This window comes from Homo sapiens, chromosome 8, assembly GCF_000001405.40.
Source record: "Homo sapiens chromosome 8, GRCh38.p14 Primary Assembly".
NCBI classification, from domain to species: domain Eukaryota; kingdom Metazoa; phylum Chordata; class Mammalia; order Primates; family Hominidae; genus Homo; species Homo sapiens.
The window spans coordinates 99,894,241-99,913,620 of record NC_000008.11 but is presented as its reverse complement, the minus strand read 5'-3'; the positions used below and the strand labels follow the sequence as shown (position 1 = coordinate 99,913,620).

The window sequence follows — 19,380 nt, the reverse complement described above, 5'->3', positions numbered from 1 at the left end:
AGCCAAGGAGGTTGAGGCTGAAGTGAGTATGATCATACCACTGCACTCCAATCTGGGCAACAGAGTGAGACCCTGTCTCAAAAAGAAAAAATAATAAAAGATCCATTAGAAGAGTTAGAATATACTCCTCACAAAGTAGAACAAAAAAGGATGGGGAAAAGACCAAGAGGATGTATCGAGGATGTCCAATCTATAATTATTAGGATTTCTAGGAAAGAACAGAGGTGGTTGTGGAGGGAAATGATTAAGGAAATAATACAAGATAATGAAGGAAGTGAGACATCAAATTGAAAGGACTCACTAGGTATCCATCAGAGTAAATAAAGATCCATTCTCAGATTCATCATTCTGAAATTTTAGAATACCAAGAATGCAAATGAAATATATAGAAAAATAAGCAGGTAGTCAATAAAGGAATAAATTCTGAGGCTAGCAGCAGCCTTCCCATCAGCAAGAGACATAAGAAGCCTGTGAAGAAATGCCTTCCAACTTCTGAGGGAAAGACATTTCACTGTAGAACTCTCTAGATCTCTTAAACATGTGTGTAGTCAGAATACAGATATTTTCAAACATATAAGTACTCAGATGTTTACCTTCCATGTGCTGTAGTTCCTTAGAAAGTGAATCCAGCACAGGTGAATGCAGACCAATACCTGAGGTGCAGCCATGGAAACAGGCCTGGAGAGAACCCAGGAGGGAGAACTCCAGAAGAAAGATTTGGAAGAATAAAGGATAAGGGTGATTCAATACAATAGATATGTTGGTGAATATGAAAAAAAAATTGAGGATATGGTAGACTAACCATATACCAAATTCATGCCTATAAAAAGGAGGAACTCAGAAGAACTAGGAGAACCACATATACAAGGAAAGAAATTTTACAATACTTAATTTGGGTCTAAATTGGACCATATTTAAATAAATCACGATAAGACAGCTTTGTTAATTTTCAGCTTTTAAAATCAAACTATTTAGGAATGCAAAAGTTTTATTGGAAAATCAAATCAAACCAAATTAAGCTATTAGCAAAATGCAGAAGAGTTATGGTTATACATAAACTATAAATATCATCAACATTGATTTAAATGTAAAGATTATATGCAGAAAACAGTATGCTGGTTCCTCAGAAGATTAAACATAGAATTATTTTATGATCCAGCAATCCCCCTGTATTAGCCTGTTTTCATGCTGCGATAAATACATACCCAAGACTGGAAGGAAAAATAGGTTTAATGGACTCACAGTTCCACGTGGCTGGGGAGGCCTCACAATCATGGCAGAAGGCAAAAGGCACTTCTTACATGGCAGTGGCAAGAGAGAATGAGGAATAAGAGAAAGCGGAAACCCCTTATAAAACCATCAAATCTTGTGAGATTTATTCACTACCACGAGAACAGTATGGGGGAAACCATCCCCCTGATTCAATTATCTCTCACTGGGTCCCTCCCACAACCCAAGGGAATTATGGGAGCTACAATTCAAGATGAGATTTGGGTGGGGACACAGCCAAACCATATCACCCCCTTTCTGGGCATATCTGTGAAGAAACTCAAAGCAGGAACTCAAACAGTTATTTGCACATGCATATTTACAGCAGTGCTATTCACAATAGCCAAAAGGTGGATGCAGCCTCCTTTTGGACATATTTATTGACAAATAAATGGATATGCAAAATGTGGTATATACATACTGCTGTCATTTGGGTATGGTTTGTCCCCACCAAAACTCATGTTGAAAGTCAATCCCCAATGTGGCTGTGTTGGGAGGTGGGGCCTAGTGGGAGGAGTCTGGGTGATGGGGATGAATCCCTCACAGATGGCTTGATGCATTCTCACAGTAATGGGTTCTTGTTCTTGAGGGAATGGATTAGTTCCTACAAGAATGGGTTGTCATAAAGCCAGGATGCACCTCAGGTTTTGCCTCTCACGTGTTTCTGTTTCCCCTCTGACCTTCCACCATGTTGTGAGGCAGCACCAGCAGATGAGCTGATGTGTAGTAACAACACAATATGGACTAAGACACATGCAATGGATTATTATTCAGCCTTAAAATAGAAGGAAATTCTGACACATGCTACAGCATGGTTGACCTTGAGGACATTATGCTAAGTGAAATAAGCCCATCACAAAGAGACAGATATGGTATGATTCTACCTGTATGAGGAAACTAAAGTAGTCGATTCATAGAGACAGAAAGTAGAATGGTAGTTCCCAGGGTCATGGAGAAGGGGGACTGGGGAGTTGTTTAATGGGTATAGACTTTCTGTTTTGCAAGATAAAAAAGTCTGGAGATTGATTGTACATCCATGCAAATATACTTTATTGAACTGTACACTTGAAAATAGGAAAGATGGTAAATTTTATGTTATATATATTTTACCACAATTTTTAAGAAAACTTAAGAAAAGAACCCTTGAACCCAGAGTTTAGGCATGTCCCAGCAGAACCTTGGGCTATGTTATATATATTTTATGTATTTTACATATATTTTATAGGCTAATTCTGCCTCCACAGGCCCAAGCCTCAGGACGGCCCCTGAGGACATAGGCTCCCGGCTCCAGGCCAGCCTCTGGGGACTCAGGACTTGACCCTACAGGCAATGAGATAGCATTGACAAACTTATTCTGGAAAGAAAATGGACAGTTGTGCAGGAAGAGTGACCTAGGAGTCACTGGTGTGCCCGCCTTCAGCCTCGGGTGGGTGGGGGATTATTCATTCTTGCTCTTGCTTCTTCCCAACCCTCCCTCCCTTCTTCCTTTCCCTTTCTTTCCTTCAACAAATACTTATGAGTGCCAGGAACTTCAGTGTGTTACTATGGACAGATTGTGTTACTATGGACAGATTGTGTTATACATAACACAATGTGCTACTATGTGTTATATATAACACTATATATATATATATATATATATATCACTATATATATGTGTTATATGTATAATACATATATTATGTGTATGTGTTATGTATATATAATGCATATATATTATATGTATGTACATATAATACATATATTATAGATTATATGCATGTGTTACGTATCACACATACATATAATATATATGTATATATAATAAATGAATATATAATATGCAAGTTATATATAACACATATATATGTGTGGCTAATTTTCTTTTTATTTTTGTAGAGATAGGGACTCACTATGTTGCCCAGGCTGGTCTTCAACATATATATGTGTTATATACAACACATACATATGTTATATATAACACAATGTGTTACTATGGATAGTCAGTGTTCTCTGGGGTGTGGGACACCTTTCACTGCAATATGATTTTAAGTGGTACATGGGCACTGCATTTTTTTAAATCACAAAAATTGCAAGAGGAAAAAAAGAGATAGAGGGAAAACCAGTAAATTAGAAGACATATCAACCAATTACAATGCATGGCCCTTATTTGGATCCTGATTCAAGCAGTTAAAAAAAAGACACTTGGAAATTTGAACATTGGATATTTGATGACACCAAGAGATATCATTGTTTCAGGTATGATAATGATATACTAGACAATATCTTTTAGAATATATAACGAAATATTTACCAATGAAATTATGTAATATCTGAGATTTGCTTCAAAGTGATCAGTGAGGGGAGGGGCTGGGGGATTGGGATGAAAACAAGATGCTTCATGGTTTGACTGTTGCTGCTGCTGAGTGATGGGGCCTTTCATCATACCAGTGTGTCAACTTGGCACATATTTGCAATTTTCCAAATTGAACATGTTGAATGATATAATGAAAAAGTTAATGCCTTTTTGGTACTCTTTCAATCAATCTGACTAGACCAGACTAGACTAAGTGGAAAGGCTCTAATTTTTTTTTTAACTGTTTTTTGAGAAAACAACAACAACAAAACTCCAGGCTGGAGTGCAGTGGTGAGATTGCGGCTCACTGCAGCCTCAGCCACCTGGGCCCAAGTGATCCTCCCACCTCAGCCTCCCCAGTAGTTGGGACCACAGGCGTGCACCACCACGCCTGGCTAATTTTCTTTTTCTTTTTGTAGAGATAGGGTTTCAATATGTTGCCCAGGCTGGTCTTGAACTCCTGGGTTCAACCAATCCTCCCAGCTTAGCCTCCCAAAGTTCTGGGATTACAGGCGTGAGCCACCATGCCTGGCCTAACTTTTTTTTTTATAAAGTCGAGCTCAGAGCCTTCAACTAGATATTAATAAAATTATTTGGTTTTTGGCCTGGCACAGTGGCTCATGCCTGTAATTCCAGCACTTTGGGAGGCTGAGACAGGTAAATCGCTTGAGTCCAGGAGTTTGAGATCATCCTGGGCAACATGGTGAAACCTTATCTCTACAAAAAATACAAAAAAGAGTAGCTGGGTGTGATGGTGCACACCTGTGGTCCAAGCTACTTGGGATGCTGAGATGGGAGAATCGCCTGAATCTGGTAAGCAGAGATTGCAGTGAGCCAAGATCATGCCACTGCACTACAGCCTGGGTGACAGAGTAAGATACTGTCTCAAAAAAAGAAAAATATTATTTGGTTTTCAAGTGATCCTGACATAAGTTCCGCTATGATATAAATTTTATACAAAATTTATTTTAAAAATTATTTTAAAATGTATAATTTGGTGTATGTCATTTATATATAATAAATCTTTCAAACAAAAATGTTAGTAGGTATGAACTTTATACAATGTGCTCCCATGTGCAAAAGTTGTAATTTTATTTCTCTATAACTGAACTCAGGTTAGTTCTTGTGCCCTATTTCTTCTTCAGCAACAGAAAGTATGACTAAATTCAGTCAATCCTGATTTAAAATTGGATCTTTTCTGGGGTCAGATCAGAATCCTTGTTAGAATTATGCCCCCTCCTCCTTCTCTTCTCTCTGGACTGACTGATTCTTACTCTGTTGTCAGGGAAAAACAGGGTGCCAGGTCTCCTCTGTTCCTTCACAGGGTGCAGTTTCCTGAGTCCTTCATACTATGCCTGAGCATTGGCTCCTGAAGTCTATTTTTTTCCCTTCTCACCTGCCTTCTGGCTTTGTAAGGTCCACAGCTCAATCTCAGAACCCATCTGCCTGGGGGAGAACATGGGAACTTTTAGGCTGTTCTATAGCCTTGCTATTCAAAATGTGGTCTGTGGATCAGCAACATCAGTATCACTTTGGAACTTGATAGAAATTTAGACTCTCAGGCCTCACCCCAGACCTGCTGAGTCAGAATCTGCATGACGTTAATGTTTAAGAAGCACTGCTCTGCAGCACTTGCGAGAATTGGCCTGAACCCCCTCTCTGCCACTGATGAAGCATCAAGCTCCAGCTACCTCTTCCCTGCTCCTTCTCCTCTCATCTAATTTTATTTCCCTTTGAGCAGAGAATCATGTATATTTTGGACATATTGCTTATCCTGTTTTTATAATCCTGCTTTCTGATAGACGCTTCCCTTTCCTTAAAAAGAAAAGAAAAATTTTCTCTTTCCTCAAAAAGATAAATCAGGTTGGGTCGGTGGCTCATGCCTGTAATCCAGCACTTCGGGAGGCCGAGATGGGAGGGTCACTTGAGTCCAGGAGTTTGAGACCAGGCTGGGCAATATAGTGAGGCCCCATCTTAAAAAAAAAAAAAAAAAAAAAAAAAAAGATAAATCAAAAGACATGGCTTTGAAGACTATTTGCCTGCTGTGTGGTTTAAATCACTTCAACAAGTTGATCACCCTTGAGCATAGTGTGCATGCATAGAAAGCTCTTCCTCTCAGGTGAATGGTGGAGATAGAAACTTTGGGAAATCCCAAGTTAGTGTCCCAAAATTTTGATGGCTGTATATTTTTTTAAATGAGTCAATCTAAAGAAAAATATTAAGTACATAATAGTATAGGGATGTGCAAATAATTGAAGCTTACAAAACTCTAGGTTAGGCTTCGGGCACCCTAGAACTCTCTCCTGGGGGTGCACCCATCTTTACTTGTCTTGAGTCAATCTCTCTCTCTAGAAGGCAGAGGGGGATAGCACAGGTAATTGATCCACTGAGCTTAATGCTACCAATAATGGGAATAGCTGATGATATTAAAGATACAGGAAGCTTGGAGGACAGTGTTTGTTGTTCAGGTGAGAAACAGGGGCTCTGTAGGACTCTGGGAGCTCTCTAGAGTTTGGAACTGAGCTACGTTCATACTTACTTCCACAGAAACTACCACAAAGTCTGGCATATAGTAGCCTCAGTAAACATTTGTAGAATGGGCACCTGAGACTAAAAGAAAACAGAATATTTGTGTTTCTTAAATTATTTAGAGAAAAGCTAGATATGGTCTGATTCCACTTAAAATGGAATGGCTTAAGAGGAATGAGAAGACCTAAAAGTGAAAATATAATGAAAGGAAAAAATGAAAATTAAAATATAATTCTGGATAATCTCAACATGGAAGAAAACAGGAACACCAAAACAAAATTAATGTGGTTGCTCAGGGAGTGAGTTTGGTTGAAAAGCCTATATATGGCTGGGCACGGTGGCTCACGCCTGTAATCACAGCACTTTGGGAGGCCAAGGTGGGTGGATCATAAGGTCAGGAGTTCGAGACCAGCCTGGCCAATATGGTGAAACCCCATCTCTACTAAAAATACAAAAATTAGCCAGGTATGGTGGCACGTGCCTGTAGTCCCAGCTACTCGGGAGGCTGAGGCAGAAGAATCGCTTGAACCCGGGAGGCAGAGGTTGCAGTGAGCCAAGATTGTGCCACTGTCGCCTGGGCGACACAGCAAGACTTTGTCTCGAAAGAAAGAAAGAGAGAGAGAGAGAAAGAAAGAAAGAAAGAAAGAAAGAAAAGAAAGAAGGAAAGAGAGAGAGAAAGAAAGAAAGAGAGAGAGAAAGAAAGAAAGAAAGAAAGAAAGAAAGAAAAAAGAAAGAAAGAGAAAGAAAGAAAGAAAGAAAAGAAAGAAAGAAGGGAAGGAAGGAAAGGAAGGAAGGAAGGAAGGAAGGAAGGCCTATATACAAAAGAGGAAATGAAAGCTATATGACCCAAGTTGGATATAGCAAGAATACTCACTTGTAAGAATGCCAAGAAGGCTGAGGATTGGTCTGAGGCTTGCAAATAATGCTCAAAACATTCTATTGTTTTAAATGGAAAGTATCAAACTTCTTGTATATGCAAAAGTGGACAGAAGTTTATAGTACTCATGTACTCCCACGTACTCATGATCCAGCTAAAATAGTGATTATTTTACCAGAGGGGATTTAATTATGGCCCAAAAGCCAAATCCAGCCCACTGAATGCTTTTGTAAATAAAGTTTTATTGGAACACAGTCACACTCATTTCTTTATATTTTGTCTGTGACTACTTTCACATTACAATGGCAGAGTTGAGTAGTGGGCAACACAGTTTGAGACCCCAGCCCACAGCTACTATCTGGCCCTTTATAAAAAAAAAAAGTTGTGGCTCACACCTGTAATCCTAGAACTCTGGGAGGCCAAGACAGGAGCTTGAGCCTGAGATCAGCTTGGACAACATGGCAAGACCCTGTTTCTATTTAAAAAAAAAAAAAAAAGGAAAAGAAAAGAAAAGAGAAAGTTGGTGACCTAGGTTTTATTTGCCTATGATCAACACCTTCCACTCCCATCTGCCCACCTGCCTACCCCACTTGTATTATTTTGAAGCAAATCATCATCATACCATTTGATTGGTAAATATTTCAATGTGTATTTCTATTTTTTTTAAGTGGCAGTGTCTCAATCTGACACCCAAGCTGGAGTGCAGTGGCATGATCATGGATCAGTCTAACCTCAACCTCCTGGGCTTGAGCGATCCTCCCGTCTCAGCCTCCTGAGTAGCTGGGGATACAGGTGCATGCCACCATGCCTGGCTCATTTTTTATTATTTTGTAGAGACAGGGTCTTGCTATGTTGCCCAGGCTGGTCTTGAAATTTTGGCCTCAAGTGACCCTACTGCCTGAGCCTCTCAAAGTGCTGAGATTACAGGCATGAGCCACTATGCCCTACACCTCCAGATTTTAAATGTGGCAGTGTCAGGGTGACCATACAATATTCTAACGACTGTGTCCTGCTGTCAACACAGCTACTGTTTACTCAGAAGAGCATGTGGAAGCTAAAGATATCCATGTTTGTTGAATTTGACTAGTTCACCACATCCATAAATTAAAATAAACATAAGTTCAAAGTGGAATTCCAAAGAAACTGCTAAGACATCCTTTTTTAAAAAAAATCATTTTAAAAGTCATTATCAAGTGTCCTATCTTAGAATGATAATTTGTATCTTTTGACTTTGCTGTATCCTCTTAGAAGTTAAAATAGGTATTTCCCGCTCCTCTTGTTTTTTTTTTTTTCTCATCTAGTAAACTTAAATTTTTTGCTGTCTCTGTATTCAAAATGCAGCTGAGTTTAACGTGACTCTTTCATTTAACAGCTTCATTTCATAAAGGCCATTATCAGGCCAGGTCATCTCTGTGTATAGCTTCTGTGATTGACGTCAGCCTGCTTCTGGGAAAATTGTTTTAATTAGTACTGCCTCTGAAATGCCCAAAGGAACACAAATATCTGGTACTTAGTTATTGCACAGACCTCATCATCTGAATAAATAACCTCTTTGATTCTCTAAGTAGGGGCCAGGAGGATTTATCAATTCAACTAAAAGAAACTGAAGGCTCTGGAATGATCTACTGATTTAGGAAGTGTCCTCAGTGGCTTGGGACTATCCTCTCAGCCATTAGGGACAACCACACAGGGCACACCATCGGTGCTCAGTGAACCATCCTAGGCTAATGAGTGTTATCCACTGAGATGGATTTGTTTCCTTGGATGTGCTCTCTACAGCCCTGCTGTGGAAGGCAATCTCTGGATTCTCACACTCTAGATTCCAGTCCCAGTGTTTCTGTTTTTCTACCACTATGACCCTCAGTTTGTTTATCTAAAAACCAGAGACAGATGTGGTGTTTTATGCCTTTAATCCCCACACTTTGGGAGGCTGAGATGGGAGGATCACTTGAGCCCAGGGGTTTGAGACCAGCCTAGGGAACATAGCAAGCCCCTGTCTCAATAACAAAAAAAAATTTTTAATGAGCTGGGTGTGGCCAGCTACTCAGGAGGCTGAGGCAGGAGGATCACTTGAGCCCAGGAGTCCGAGGCTGCAGAGAGCTGTGATTGTGCCATGCACTCCAGCCTAGGTGACAGAGTGAGACTCTGTCTCTAAATAAATAAATAAAATAAAATAAAATAAAGGAATTCCTGCTTATCTCACAGGATTATTGAGAGGACAAAATGAAAACATATGTGAACATGTTTTACAAACGACTAGGGGCTACGTAGGGCTTACGAATAGAGTGAGGCAGGAACTCAGCCCTTGGAGAGGCTAGAAAACATTGTCCCCAATCCACGTACAAGCTTCAGGGGAGCCCAGAGTCTCCTAGAATTCAGTACTCCATGAGAAGTCTTGGGAAGCTGGTGCCTCAGGCACTCAACCCCCGAAGGGACCCAAACATCCAGCGTTCCCCTAGGTCAGCAGCAAAGCAGGACTCTTAAGCAGAGGACAGATTCTATTTCAAAACTCAGGGTCTCTTCACAGCTTCTCTAGAGGTTAGTCAGGGCTGAGCACAGGGAGGCCCCTAATGTTGAAGGGCTGGGCTCCACCATTCCATTTTGTTTTCAATTTAGAAGAAATTGTAGTGATCAACATAGCTTATTTCCAGGCCCATCTTAATGTCCCCATTACTTTTTTACATTCCCACCGTCTCTGTCACTCAGTTTATCTGCCTCAGCGTTCACACACATGCATCCCTAACTAAAACAGATACTTGTATTTATTTATTTATTTATTTTACAGCAAAGAAAAAAATGTATTAAAACAAACATTTTACTGCAACATTTTGATTTGGGAGTTGGAGAGCAAAAACTCAATATCTGATTTCTGGGAAAATGCTAATGTTTTATGGCTTTATAAGGAAATTTCTCTGTGTTTAATTTATCAGAGTAATTTATATACTTCAGGTTAAAGCACAATGAGATTGCCACCATCATTTTGCCTTTCACAAGATTTCTTTTCTTTTTTTTAATTATATGTTAAGCTCTGGGGTAAATGTGTGGAACGTGCAGTTTTGTTACATAGGTATACACGTGCCATGGTGGTTTGCTGCACCCATCAACTCTTCACCTACATTAGGTATTTCTCTAAATGCTATCCCTCCCCTAGCCCCCCACCCTGTGACAGGGGCCAGTGTGTGATGTTGCCTTCCCTGTGTCCATGTGTTCTCATTGCTCAACTCCCACTTATGAGTGAGAACATGCAGTGTTTGGTTTTCTGTTCTTGTGTTAGTTTGCTAAGAATGATGGTTTCCAGCTTCATCCATGTCCCTGCAAAGGACATGAACTCATCCTTTTTTATGGCTGCATAGTATTCCATGGTGTATATGTGCCACATTTTCTTAATCCAATCTATCATTGATGGGCATTTGGGTTGGTTCCAAGTCTTTGCTATTGTGAATAGTGCTGCAATAAACATACATGTGCATGTGTCTTTATAGTAGAATGATTTATAATCCTTTGGGTATATACCCAGTAATGGGATTGCTTGGTCAAATAGTATTTCTAGTTCTAGATCCTTGAGGAATCACCACACTGTCTTCCACAATGACTGAACTAATTTACACTCCCACCAACAGTGTAAAAGCGTTCCTATTTCTCCACATCCTCTCCAGCATTTGTTGTTTCCTGACTTTTTAATGATCACAAGACAAGGATGCCCTCTCTCACTACTCCTATTCAACATAGTATTGGAGTTTCTGGCCATCAGGCTATCAGGCAAGATAAATAAATAAAGAGTATTCAAATAGAAAAAGAGGAAGTCAAATTGTCTCTGTTTGCAGATGACATGATTGTATATTTAGAAAATGCCACCATCTCAGCCCAAAATCTCCTTAAGCTGATAAGCAACTTGAGCAAGGTCTCAGGATACAAAAATCAATGTGCAAAAATCACAAGCATTTCTACACACCAGTAACAGAGAAACAGAGAGCCAAATCATGAGTGAACTCCCATTCGTAATTGCTACTAAGAGAATAAAATACCTAGGAATACAACTTACAAGAGATGTGAAGGACCTCTTCAAGGAGAACTACAGACCACTGCTCAAGGAAGTAAGATAGGACACAAATAAATAGAAAAACATTCCATGCTCATGGATAGGAAGAATCAATATCGTGAAAATGGCCATACAGCCCAAAGTAATTTATAGATTCAATGCTATCCCCATCAAGCTACCAATGACTTTCTTCACAGAATTGGGAAAAACTACTTTAAACTTCATATGGAACCAAAAAAGAGCCTGCATAGCCAAGACAACCCTAAGCAAAAATAACAATGCTGGAGGCATCATGCTACCTGACTTGAAACTATACTATAAGGCTACAGTAACAAAAACAGCATGATACTCGTACAAAAACAGATATATAGACCAATGGAACAGAACAGAGGCCTCAGAAATAACACCACACATCTACAACCATCTGATCTTTGACAAACCTGACACAAACTAGCAATGGGGAAAGGATTCCCTATCTAATAAATGGTGTTGGGAAAACTGGCTGGCCATATGCAGAAAAATGAAACTGGACCCCTTCCTTACACCTTATACAAAAATTAACCCAAGGTGGATTAAAGACTTAAACGTAAGACCTAAAACCGTAAAAATCCTAGAAGAAAACCTGGACAATGCCATTCAGGACATAGGCATGGGCAAAGACTTCATGTCTAAAACACCAAAAGCAATGGCAACAAAAGCCAAAATTGACAAATGGGATCTTATTAAACTAAAGAGCTTCTGCACAGCAAAAGAAACTATCATCAGAGTGAACAGGTAACCTACAGAATGGGAGAAAAGTTTTGCAATCTATCCATCTGACAAAGGGCTAATATCCAGAATCTACAAAGAACTTAAACAAATTTACAAGAAAAAATGTAATCCCATCAAAAAGTGGACAAAGGATATGAAAAGACACTTCTCAAAAGAAGACATTTATGCAGCCAAAAAACATATGAAAAAAAGCTCATCATCACTGGTCATTAGAGAAATGCAAGTCAAAACCACAATGAGATACCATCTCTTGCCAGTTAGATACTTGTATTTTTTTTAACCTCCTGTACCAGTCAGGATGAGCTATTTGTCTGTAGGACCAAACAACCCCTGAAGCTCAGTGGAGTGACATACCACTTATTTCTCCCTCACCATATCTGGCCACCACAGGTTGGTAGGAGGACTCTGCTCATCCTAGTGTCTCACAGACCCAGGTGAGACATAGGTGATGACATAAGTGCCATCTCCTTCAATACTTCCATCCTATCAAAGGCAGGGCAAAGAGAAAGTAGTAAATCACATGCTGTCTTATAAAGCATCTACCTGGAAAGGACACATGCCACTTCCACTCATATTGCATTGGCCAAAGCAAGTCATGTGGCTGCTTTGAAGGGAACAAGGAAGTATAACCCTACTGTGTGTCTGAAAGGAGAATGGAAATATTAGTTATACAGTACTAATCATGACCATACCTCCTGTGGTAGGAAGGATAACAGCCCTTCAAAGATGTCTATGTACTGATCCCTGGATTATGATATGTTACATAGCAAAGGGAAATAAGATTGCAGGTGGAATTAAGCTTGCTAACCAGGTGACACCAAAATAGGGAGACTGGTCTCCATTATCCAGGTGGGGCCAATATAATCACAAGGGAGAATGGGGAAGAGGGAGGGAGAAAAGGAGAGGCAGAGGAAGAGATGTGATGGAGCTGGCTTTGAAAATGAAAGAAGGGAACTATGAGCCAAGAAGTACAGGCAGCCCCTTGAAGCTAGAAAAGGGCACAGATTCTTCCTCTTCTAGAGCCTCTGGAAGGAATGCGACCTTGCTGATGCATTAAGTTGAATCTAGTGAGACCTGTGTCAGACTTTTGAACTACCGAACTGCAAGATAATGAATGTGTGTGGTTCTAAGCCACTACATTTGTGGCAGTGTGTTACAGCAACAATAGGAAGCAAATACACCTCTTTTTAAAAAATCACATTTATTATTATTTTTTTCTAACCATAAAAGTAAGACATGATAAAATTTGGATTGCATAAAAATAAAATGTAAAAATTACAAGTTTTTGGTATATACCCTTTCAGTATTATTTCCTGCTTATATATACAGTACATATGTATAAGTGTATGCACATGTTACAAAATTAGATCACGTGGCATACCTTTGCAGCTTGCCTTTTCATTTAGCAATGGCTCATGAGCATTTTCTTATGAGTAAAATGTTCTCATTGTGCTATCCAATACAGTCACATATGGCTATTTAGAACTTGAAATGTGACTAATTTGAATTGAGACGTACAGTAAGTCCTCACTTAATGTCATTAATAGGTTCTTGGAAACTGTGACTTTAAGCAAAACGATGTACAACAAAACCAGTTTTACCATGGGCTAATTGACATAAACAAGAGGTAAATTCCATCGGCATATTTCTGGTTACAAAAACCTCATCAACTTTTAAATAAGGACCAAAACACTTCTAATATTAAACACTGAAATAAATGTAATACAAAATGTAATAAATACATAAATCTTGGAAAGATTAATGAAAACAAGGCCAGGCATAGTGGCTCAGGCTGTAATTCCAACACTTTGGGAGCCTGAGGCAAGAGGATCACTTGAGTCCAGGAGTTCCAGACAAGTCTGGGCAACATAGCAAGACTCTTGTCTCAAAAAAAAAAAAAGAATAAATTAAAAAAAAATAAACAAGTAAGATAATTATTTACCCAATTATTTCAGTTCAGGGTCATTGGAAGTTGGAGCTAGCTCAGAGCACAAGGTAGGAACCAATCCTGGACAGGACACCATTCCATCCCAAGGGAACACTCTCTCTCTGTCTCTCTCTCTCTCCCTGTCACACACACACACACACACACACACACACACACTTACTCACACTGGAACCATTTAGACATCTAATCCTCCTAACACGCACATCTTTTGGATGTGGGAGGAAACCAGAGTACCCAGAGAAAACCCACGCAGACATGGGGAGAACATGCAAACTTCACATACAGAGTGGCCTCAGCCAGGAATTGATTGTTTAAATCAAAGTTACAATGAAACAGTGTTAAGCCAAACGATGTTATTCAAGGGCTTGCTGTACTGTAAGTGAAAAATACACACTAGAATTTAAAGATTGAGTATGAAAAATGAATGTGAAATATCTAATAATTTTTATGTTAATTTCATATTGAAATAATAGTTTGGTTATATTGGGTTAAATATATTATTAAAACTAATTTCATTTGTGTCTTTTTACTTTTTTTAATGTAGCTACTAGAAAATTTAACATTATCCGCATGGCTAGCTTTATAATTACATTGGGTAGCACTGTTCTAACACATTTTATTTATTTTTATTTTTTAAAATTAGAGACAGGGTCTTACTGTGTTGCCCAGGCTGATCTTGAACTCCTGGGGTCAAGCAATCCTCCTGCCTTGGCCTACCAGAGTGTTGGGATTGTAGGCGTGAGCCACCGCACCTGGCCTAGGTAAGATTTTACATGGAAATACTTATTCATCACACAACTGATTTAAGAAGTTATTTGGGACCAGTCGTGATGGCTCACGCCTGTAATCCTAGCACTTTGGGAGGCTGAGGCAGGTGGATCACTTGCGGTCAGGAGTTCGAGACCAGCTTGGCCAACATGGTGAAACCCCATCTCTACCCAAAATACAAAAATTAACCGGACATGGTGGCACACACCTGTAATCCCAGCTACTCAGGAGGCTGAGACAGGAGAATCACTTGAACCTGGGAGGCGGAGTTTGCAGTGAGCTGAGATTGCGCCACTGCACTCTGGCTCTGAATGACAGTGAGACTTTACAGAGTGAGGCTCTGTCTCAAAAAAAAAAAAAAAAAAAAGAAAAGAAAAGAAAAAGAAAAAAAGAAATTATTACGAACTTTCACCATGCCGCTCCTATTTAAGGTGAGGTGTGGGACCATTTTGAGAAATGAATCAGGTTTCCTCTGAACTGTCCCTGTTGTTTGTCATAAGCTGCAGTGAAAACTCTATATATGGGACACTGCTACCGCTGATGAGCTTGGAACACTCCTCCAGGTGCCTTCTTAAACCACATCCGGTCTTCCTGTGCCTCCCAAGCCCCATGCCAAACAGCATCAGTGACAGTGAAGGATCTCTCTGGTAGAGGCTGCCGTTTTTGGAGGCATGTAGAGCCAGCAAACCTCACCTCACCTGGAACTATGTTAAATGTCATCAGTCTTTAAGAGCAGGGGATCATTTGCAGATCATCACTCACAGCATTTTCTTAGTCAATAACAACATCACAGAAGAAACCACAGTATTGTTTTATTAGCCCTTATGAGTTCCCTTGGATCCTTATTTACATGTTGGATATAGTCAGGTCAAATAAAGTACCCCAGACTCAAGCCTTGTGATGGTCCATATCCTCAACTGAATTCTTAGAATATAATTCTAGGGGAAAGAATATGCCTCCTTTTTTCCTGTCCACTTTCAGATAAGTTTCCCTGTTGAATCTGGCTGGTGATTTCTTATTTATTAATCAGTGGGAAGGCAGAATAGGAAGTCTAGTTACATTATTGGGCTGCATCTCTGAAATCCTAGATTTTCTTGGTAATAATGAATAGTAAAGAGAAAAATGCCTCTCTCTCTCTCTCTCTCTTTCTCTATCTCTCCATTAGAGACAGGGTCTTACTCTGTCACCCAGGCTAGAGTGCAGTGTAGCTCACTAACTGCAGTCTTGAACTCCTGGGATCAAGTGATCCTCCTGCCTCAGCCTCCTGAGTAGTTGAGACTACAGGCATGAGCCACCACACCAGGCTAATTAAAAAAAAAAAAAGTTTTGGTTTTTTTTTTATAGGGATGGGGGTCTCACTATATTGCCCAGGCTGGCCTTGAACTCCTGGCTTCAAGTTATCCTCCCACCTTGGCCTCCAAAGTGCTGGGATTACAGGTGTGAGCCACCATGCCCAGCCTGTTGTCTCTGAACTCTAGGATCTAACTCTGACTCAACACTCTCATTATTTGTTAAATTTGAAAGTGGAAATAAATTATATGTAAGAGTCAGTAGATCTACCTCTGAGGTTTGTCAAATATTGCAGCTGCTGCTATTTTACCTCAGATAGAGCTTGTTTCTGTTGTTGCTTTTTAACTTCTGAGCCCCTCACATTTTCTTAATCCATAAAATTATTTCTGGCCCTTCCCACTGATACTGTATTAGTGATATACCTTATGGTCAAAAGGATTGAAAGTTTTCCACTCTTCCGAGTGACTACTGCCTAATTTGTTTCAGGGTCCATTTCATTCCTTTTAGCTCTTGGCATTGTAATTTGCCTTTCTAGGTGTTGTATACACTTTCCACAATAGGAAAGGCTGCAGCACAGGTGAGAGGTCAGGTTTTCTCAAAAGCATGTTCAGAGCAGGATAGTGATGGAGGAGCCAGCATGTTCCTGGGTGTGCTGCGGTAGGCAGCCTAGGCAAACCTACCCCCAAAAGTCTGAGGAAGCTGAAAGGCTGAAAAAGAGGCTGATAAATCTGCCTAAGGGAAAGATTAATGGTCAAGGGTCTTTTGTCCTAAGGACAGGATTCACAGTTAACAAGGAACAGTGGTGAGCAGGTCTATGCAAACTTGCCCCCAAAGGCTGAAGAGAGAGACTGACAAATCCAGTTTCTCAGGAAGAAACATTTAAAAGGGACTTAGGAACAGAAACAATCTCTCTGTTGGCTGAGGGATGGTAGATCCCCGCATCTGTGCTCCAGAAAATATCCTCTATATAGCAAGCTTTTTTGGTAAAACATGCAGCTGGTCATGCCTCAGACTTTCTAGCAAAACTTGTGACCACTGGGGAGGTTAGATAAACATCTTTATGAGGGTTTATCCATGCCATGGAAACACCTTGGTATGCAGTAGTCAAACATCGGTCATCATGGCAGTTTTTCTTCAAGACGGCATCACTCTTGCCATGCAACCAGCTGTTTCCCTACCCTGGACCCCACTTCCCCCTAAGTTTGTATTTAAAAAGTGGCATCTTATCAACACATTTTAAGGTAACATGCTGACCTGGTGATTGTCAAGGCCAGAATGGAGAGATATAGTGGGAACAAGACTGTTGGTATGCCTCTTTACCAATTAAGGGATCCTTGTCTCCCCCAAGTGGATGTGTCTCTGGTTGAGGATGACCTTGAAAGGGACTGATTTCTAGCCATGGGGAATACTTAACTGACATCTAACTCCCAGTATCTTCCACCCATCCATCCTACTTTATTCCTTAGGGCTATGCAGAACAAGCCTAGTCTTTCCACTGAGGCATCTTTTAGTTTAGTGAAGACCATGGGCTTGTTTCATGGGTTGTTTCATCAACCTTTCAATATAAAAAGATACCTCTTCACACAGACTTTCTTTACCCCTACTCTGTTGTTTCCATTCCACTTACCTCCTTCAGATATATTTTTTATTTTTGTTGGTTTTTTCCTCGAAGCCCACTAGAATGAAAGCTTCATGAGGCTTTTCATGCCATTTTGTCATGTGCTGTGCTTGGCACATTATAGGCACACAGTACCCTCTGGCTTTATACTCTCACAGATCTGCAAGACCCCTACTGCAACCCAATGCAAACTCCTCTCTCTATAAAAAGATATCTTTTCCCCCAGTAGTTTCAACAGAAGTCATAGAATTGAGTTTCACTGGCCTGGCCAGAATCCTGTGCCCATCCTCAACAAATTACTGTGGCCAAGGGGATGGGCTACATTGCTTGGCTACTCTTGGGTCATCTGCTCAACTGGAATAATGTTTTTTCTTTTTCTTTTTAAAGACAGGGTCTCACTCTGTCTGGCTGGAGTACAGTGGTGCAGTCATAGCTCACTACAGCCTGCAACTCTTGGGCTCAAGTGATCCTCCAGCCTCAGCCTCCTGAGTAGCTGGGACTATAGGCATAAATCACACTATGCCCGGCTAAGTTTTAAAGTTTTTTATGGAGATGGTGGTCTATGTTGCTCAGGTTGGTCTCCAACACCTGGGCTCAAGTAATCTGCCTTCCTTGGCCTCCCAAAGTGCTGGGATTACAGGTGTGAGCCACCACACCCAGTCTGGAATAAGATTTGACTGTTGTAGAATCACATGGCTAGAAGTGATGAAGGATTGATTAAGCACTGCTACTAAAAGAAAGATTGAAGGAATGCAGGACAGGCAAAAGAACACAGGGAGGAATGCATATTCAGAATGTCTGTTTGTCAAGCACTGTATAGGTTGAACACCCTTAATCTGAAAATCCAAAATCCAAAACGCTCCAAAATCCAAAACTTTTTGAGCACTGATGTGATGCTCAAGGAAATGCTCAGTGGAGCATTTTGGATTTCAGATTTTCAGATTGGGATGCTCAACTGGCATGTATTCTGCAAATACTCAAAAATCTGAAAAAATCCAAAATCTGAAACACTTCTGGTCTCAAATATTTCAGATAAGGGATACTCAAGCTGCATATACATTATCCCATTTAATTTACATCACAACCCAACAAAATGGGTACTATTTTTAGAGGAGAAAGCAGACTTAGAAAGATGAAGAAATTTGCCGCTACAAGTTGATGAGCTGGGACTCAAATCCAGGTCTGTTCGGCTCTAGAACAGAACCTATATGTAACATGTCTCTCTTCATCTATCGCTCAGGTTTTATTCACGTGTCACCCTCAGTCATTCACTATGGTTCACTGGATAGCTAGGGAAGCACAGAACAAACACTCAGTATTTCACTCAGGTCAGGCTCTGTGCCCTGAGTGTGCCTGTCTTTGCCATGTTCTCCCAGCCAATGTTTTCTCTCCAATTTCTCCAGTTTTCCAGGCTTTCCATTAGACTGAAACTCAGCTCTGCTTCCATCTCTTCCACGTATTGTCTGAAGCTTTCCCTGATGGTTTCACATACACTAATCCCTGTGAACTCTTAAGTTCACCACTTCTTCTCTGGGGGTGGGGATGGAAAGAGAATAGAAACAAATTACTCTCTGGACAAATTCCATGCAAAGATTTTCAGCTGGGTAGACCCTTGATAAGAGGCCTGAAAAACGTTGGTAAAGTCCAAACCTACTTTTGAACCTCAATTGAGCACCTTTCTTTGTGGCCAGGTTTCACCCTCCAGAGTGTTGGTTAATAGGTTGAGGACAAAGACTCCCTGATCAGAATGAGACTCCCCGAAGATCTGTCCTCTTGTTTAGCAGAATCTGGCACATAGTAGGTACTCAGTGTATATATCGACTCAATATCATGCATCTGTTGTGTCCCAGCTACCTTCCACAGGGCTTGATGGGTTGACTTAAATAATGCTTTTAAAATTCAGGTTATTTCAATACAAACAGCCTGGCATCATTAA

At 40.3% G+C, this 19,380-nt stretch overlaps 1 annotated feature.

The window, feature by feature from the left end:
* Positions 5,113 to 5,313: a silencer, noted in NCBI's record as "peak7123 fragment used in MPRA reporter construct". NCBI's record gives its function as "represses an SCP1 promoter by STARR-seq MPRAs in K562 erythroleukemia cells {active_cell/tissue: K562}" and the evidence as "EXISTENCE:reporter gene assay evidence [ECO:0000049][PMID:32103011]".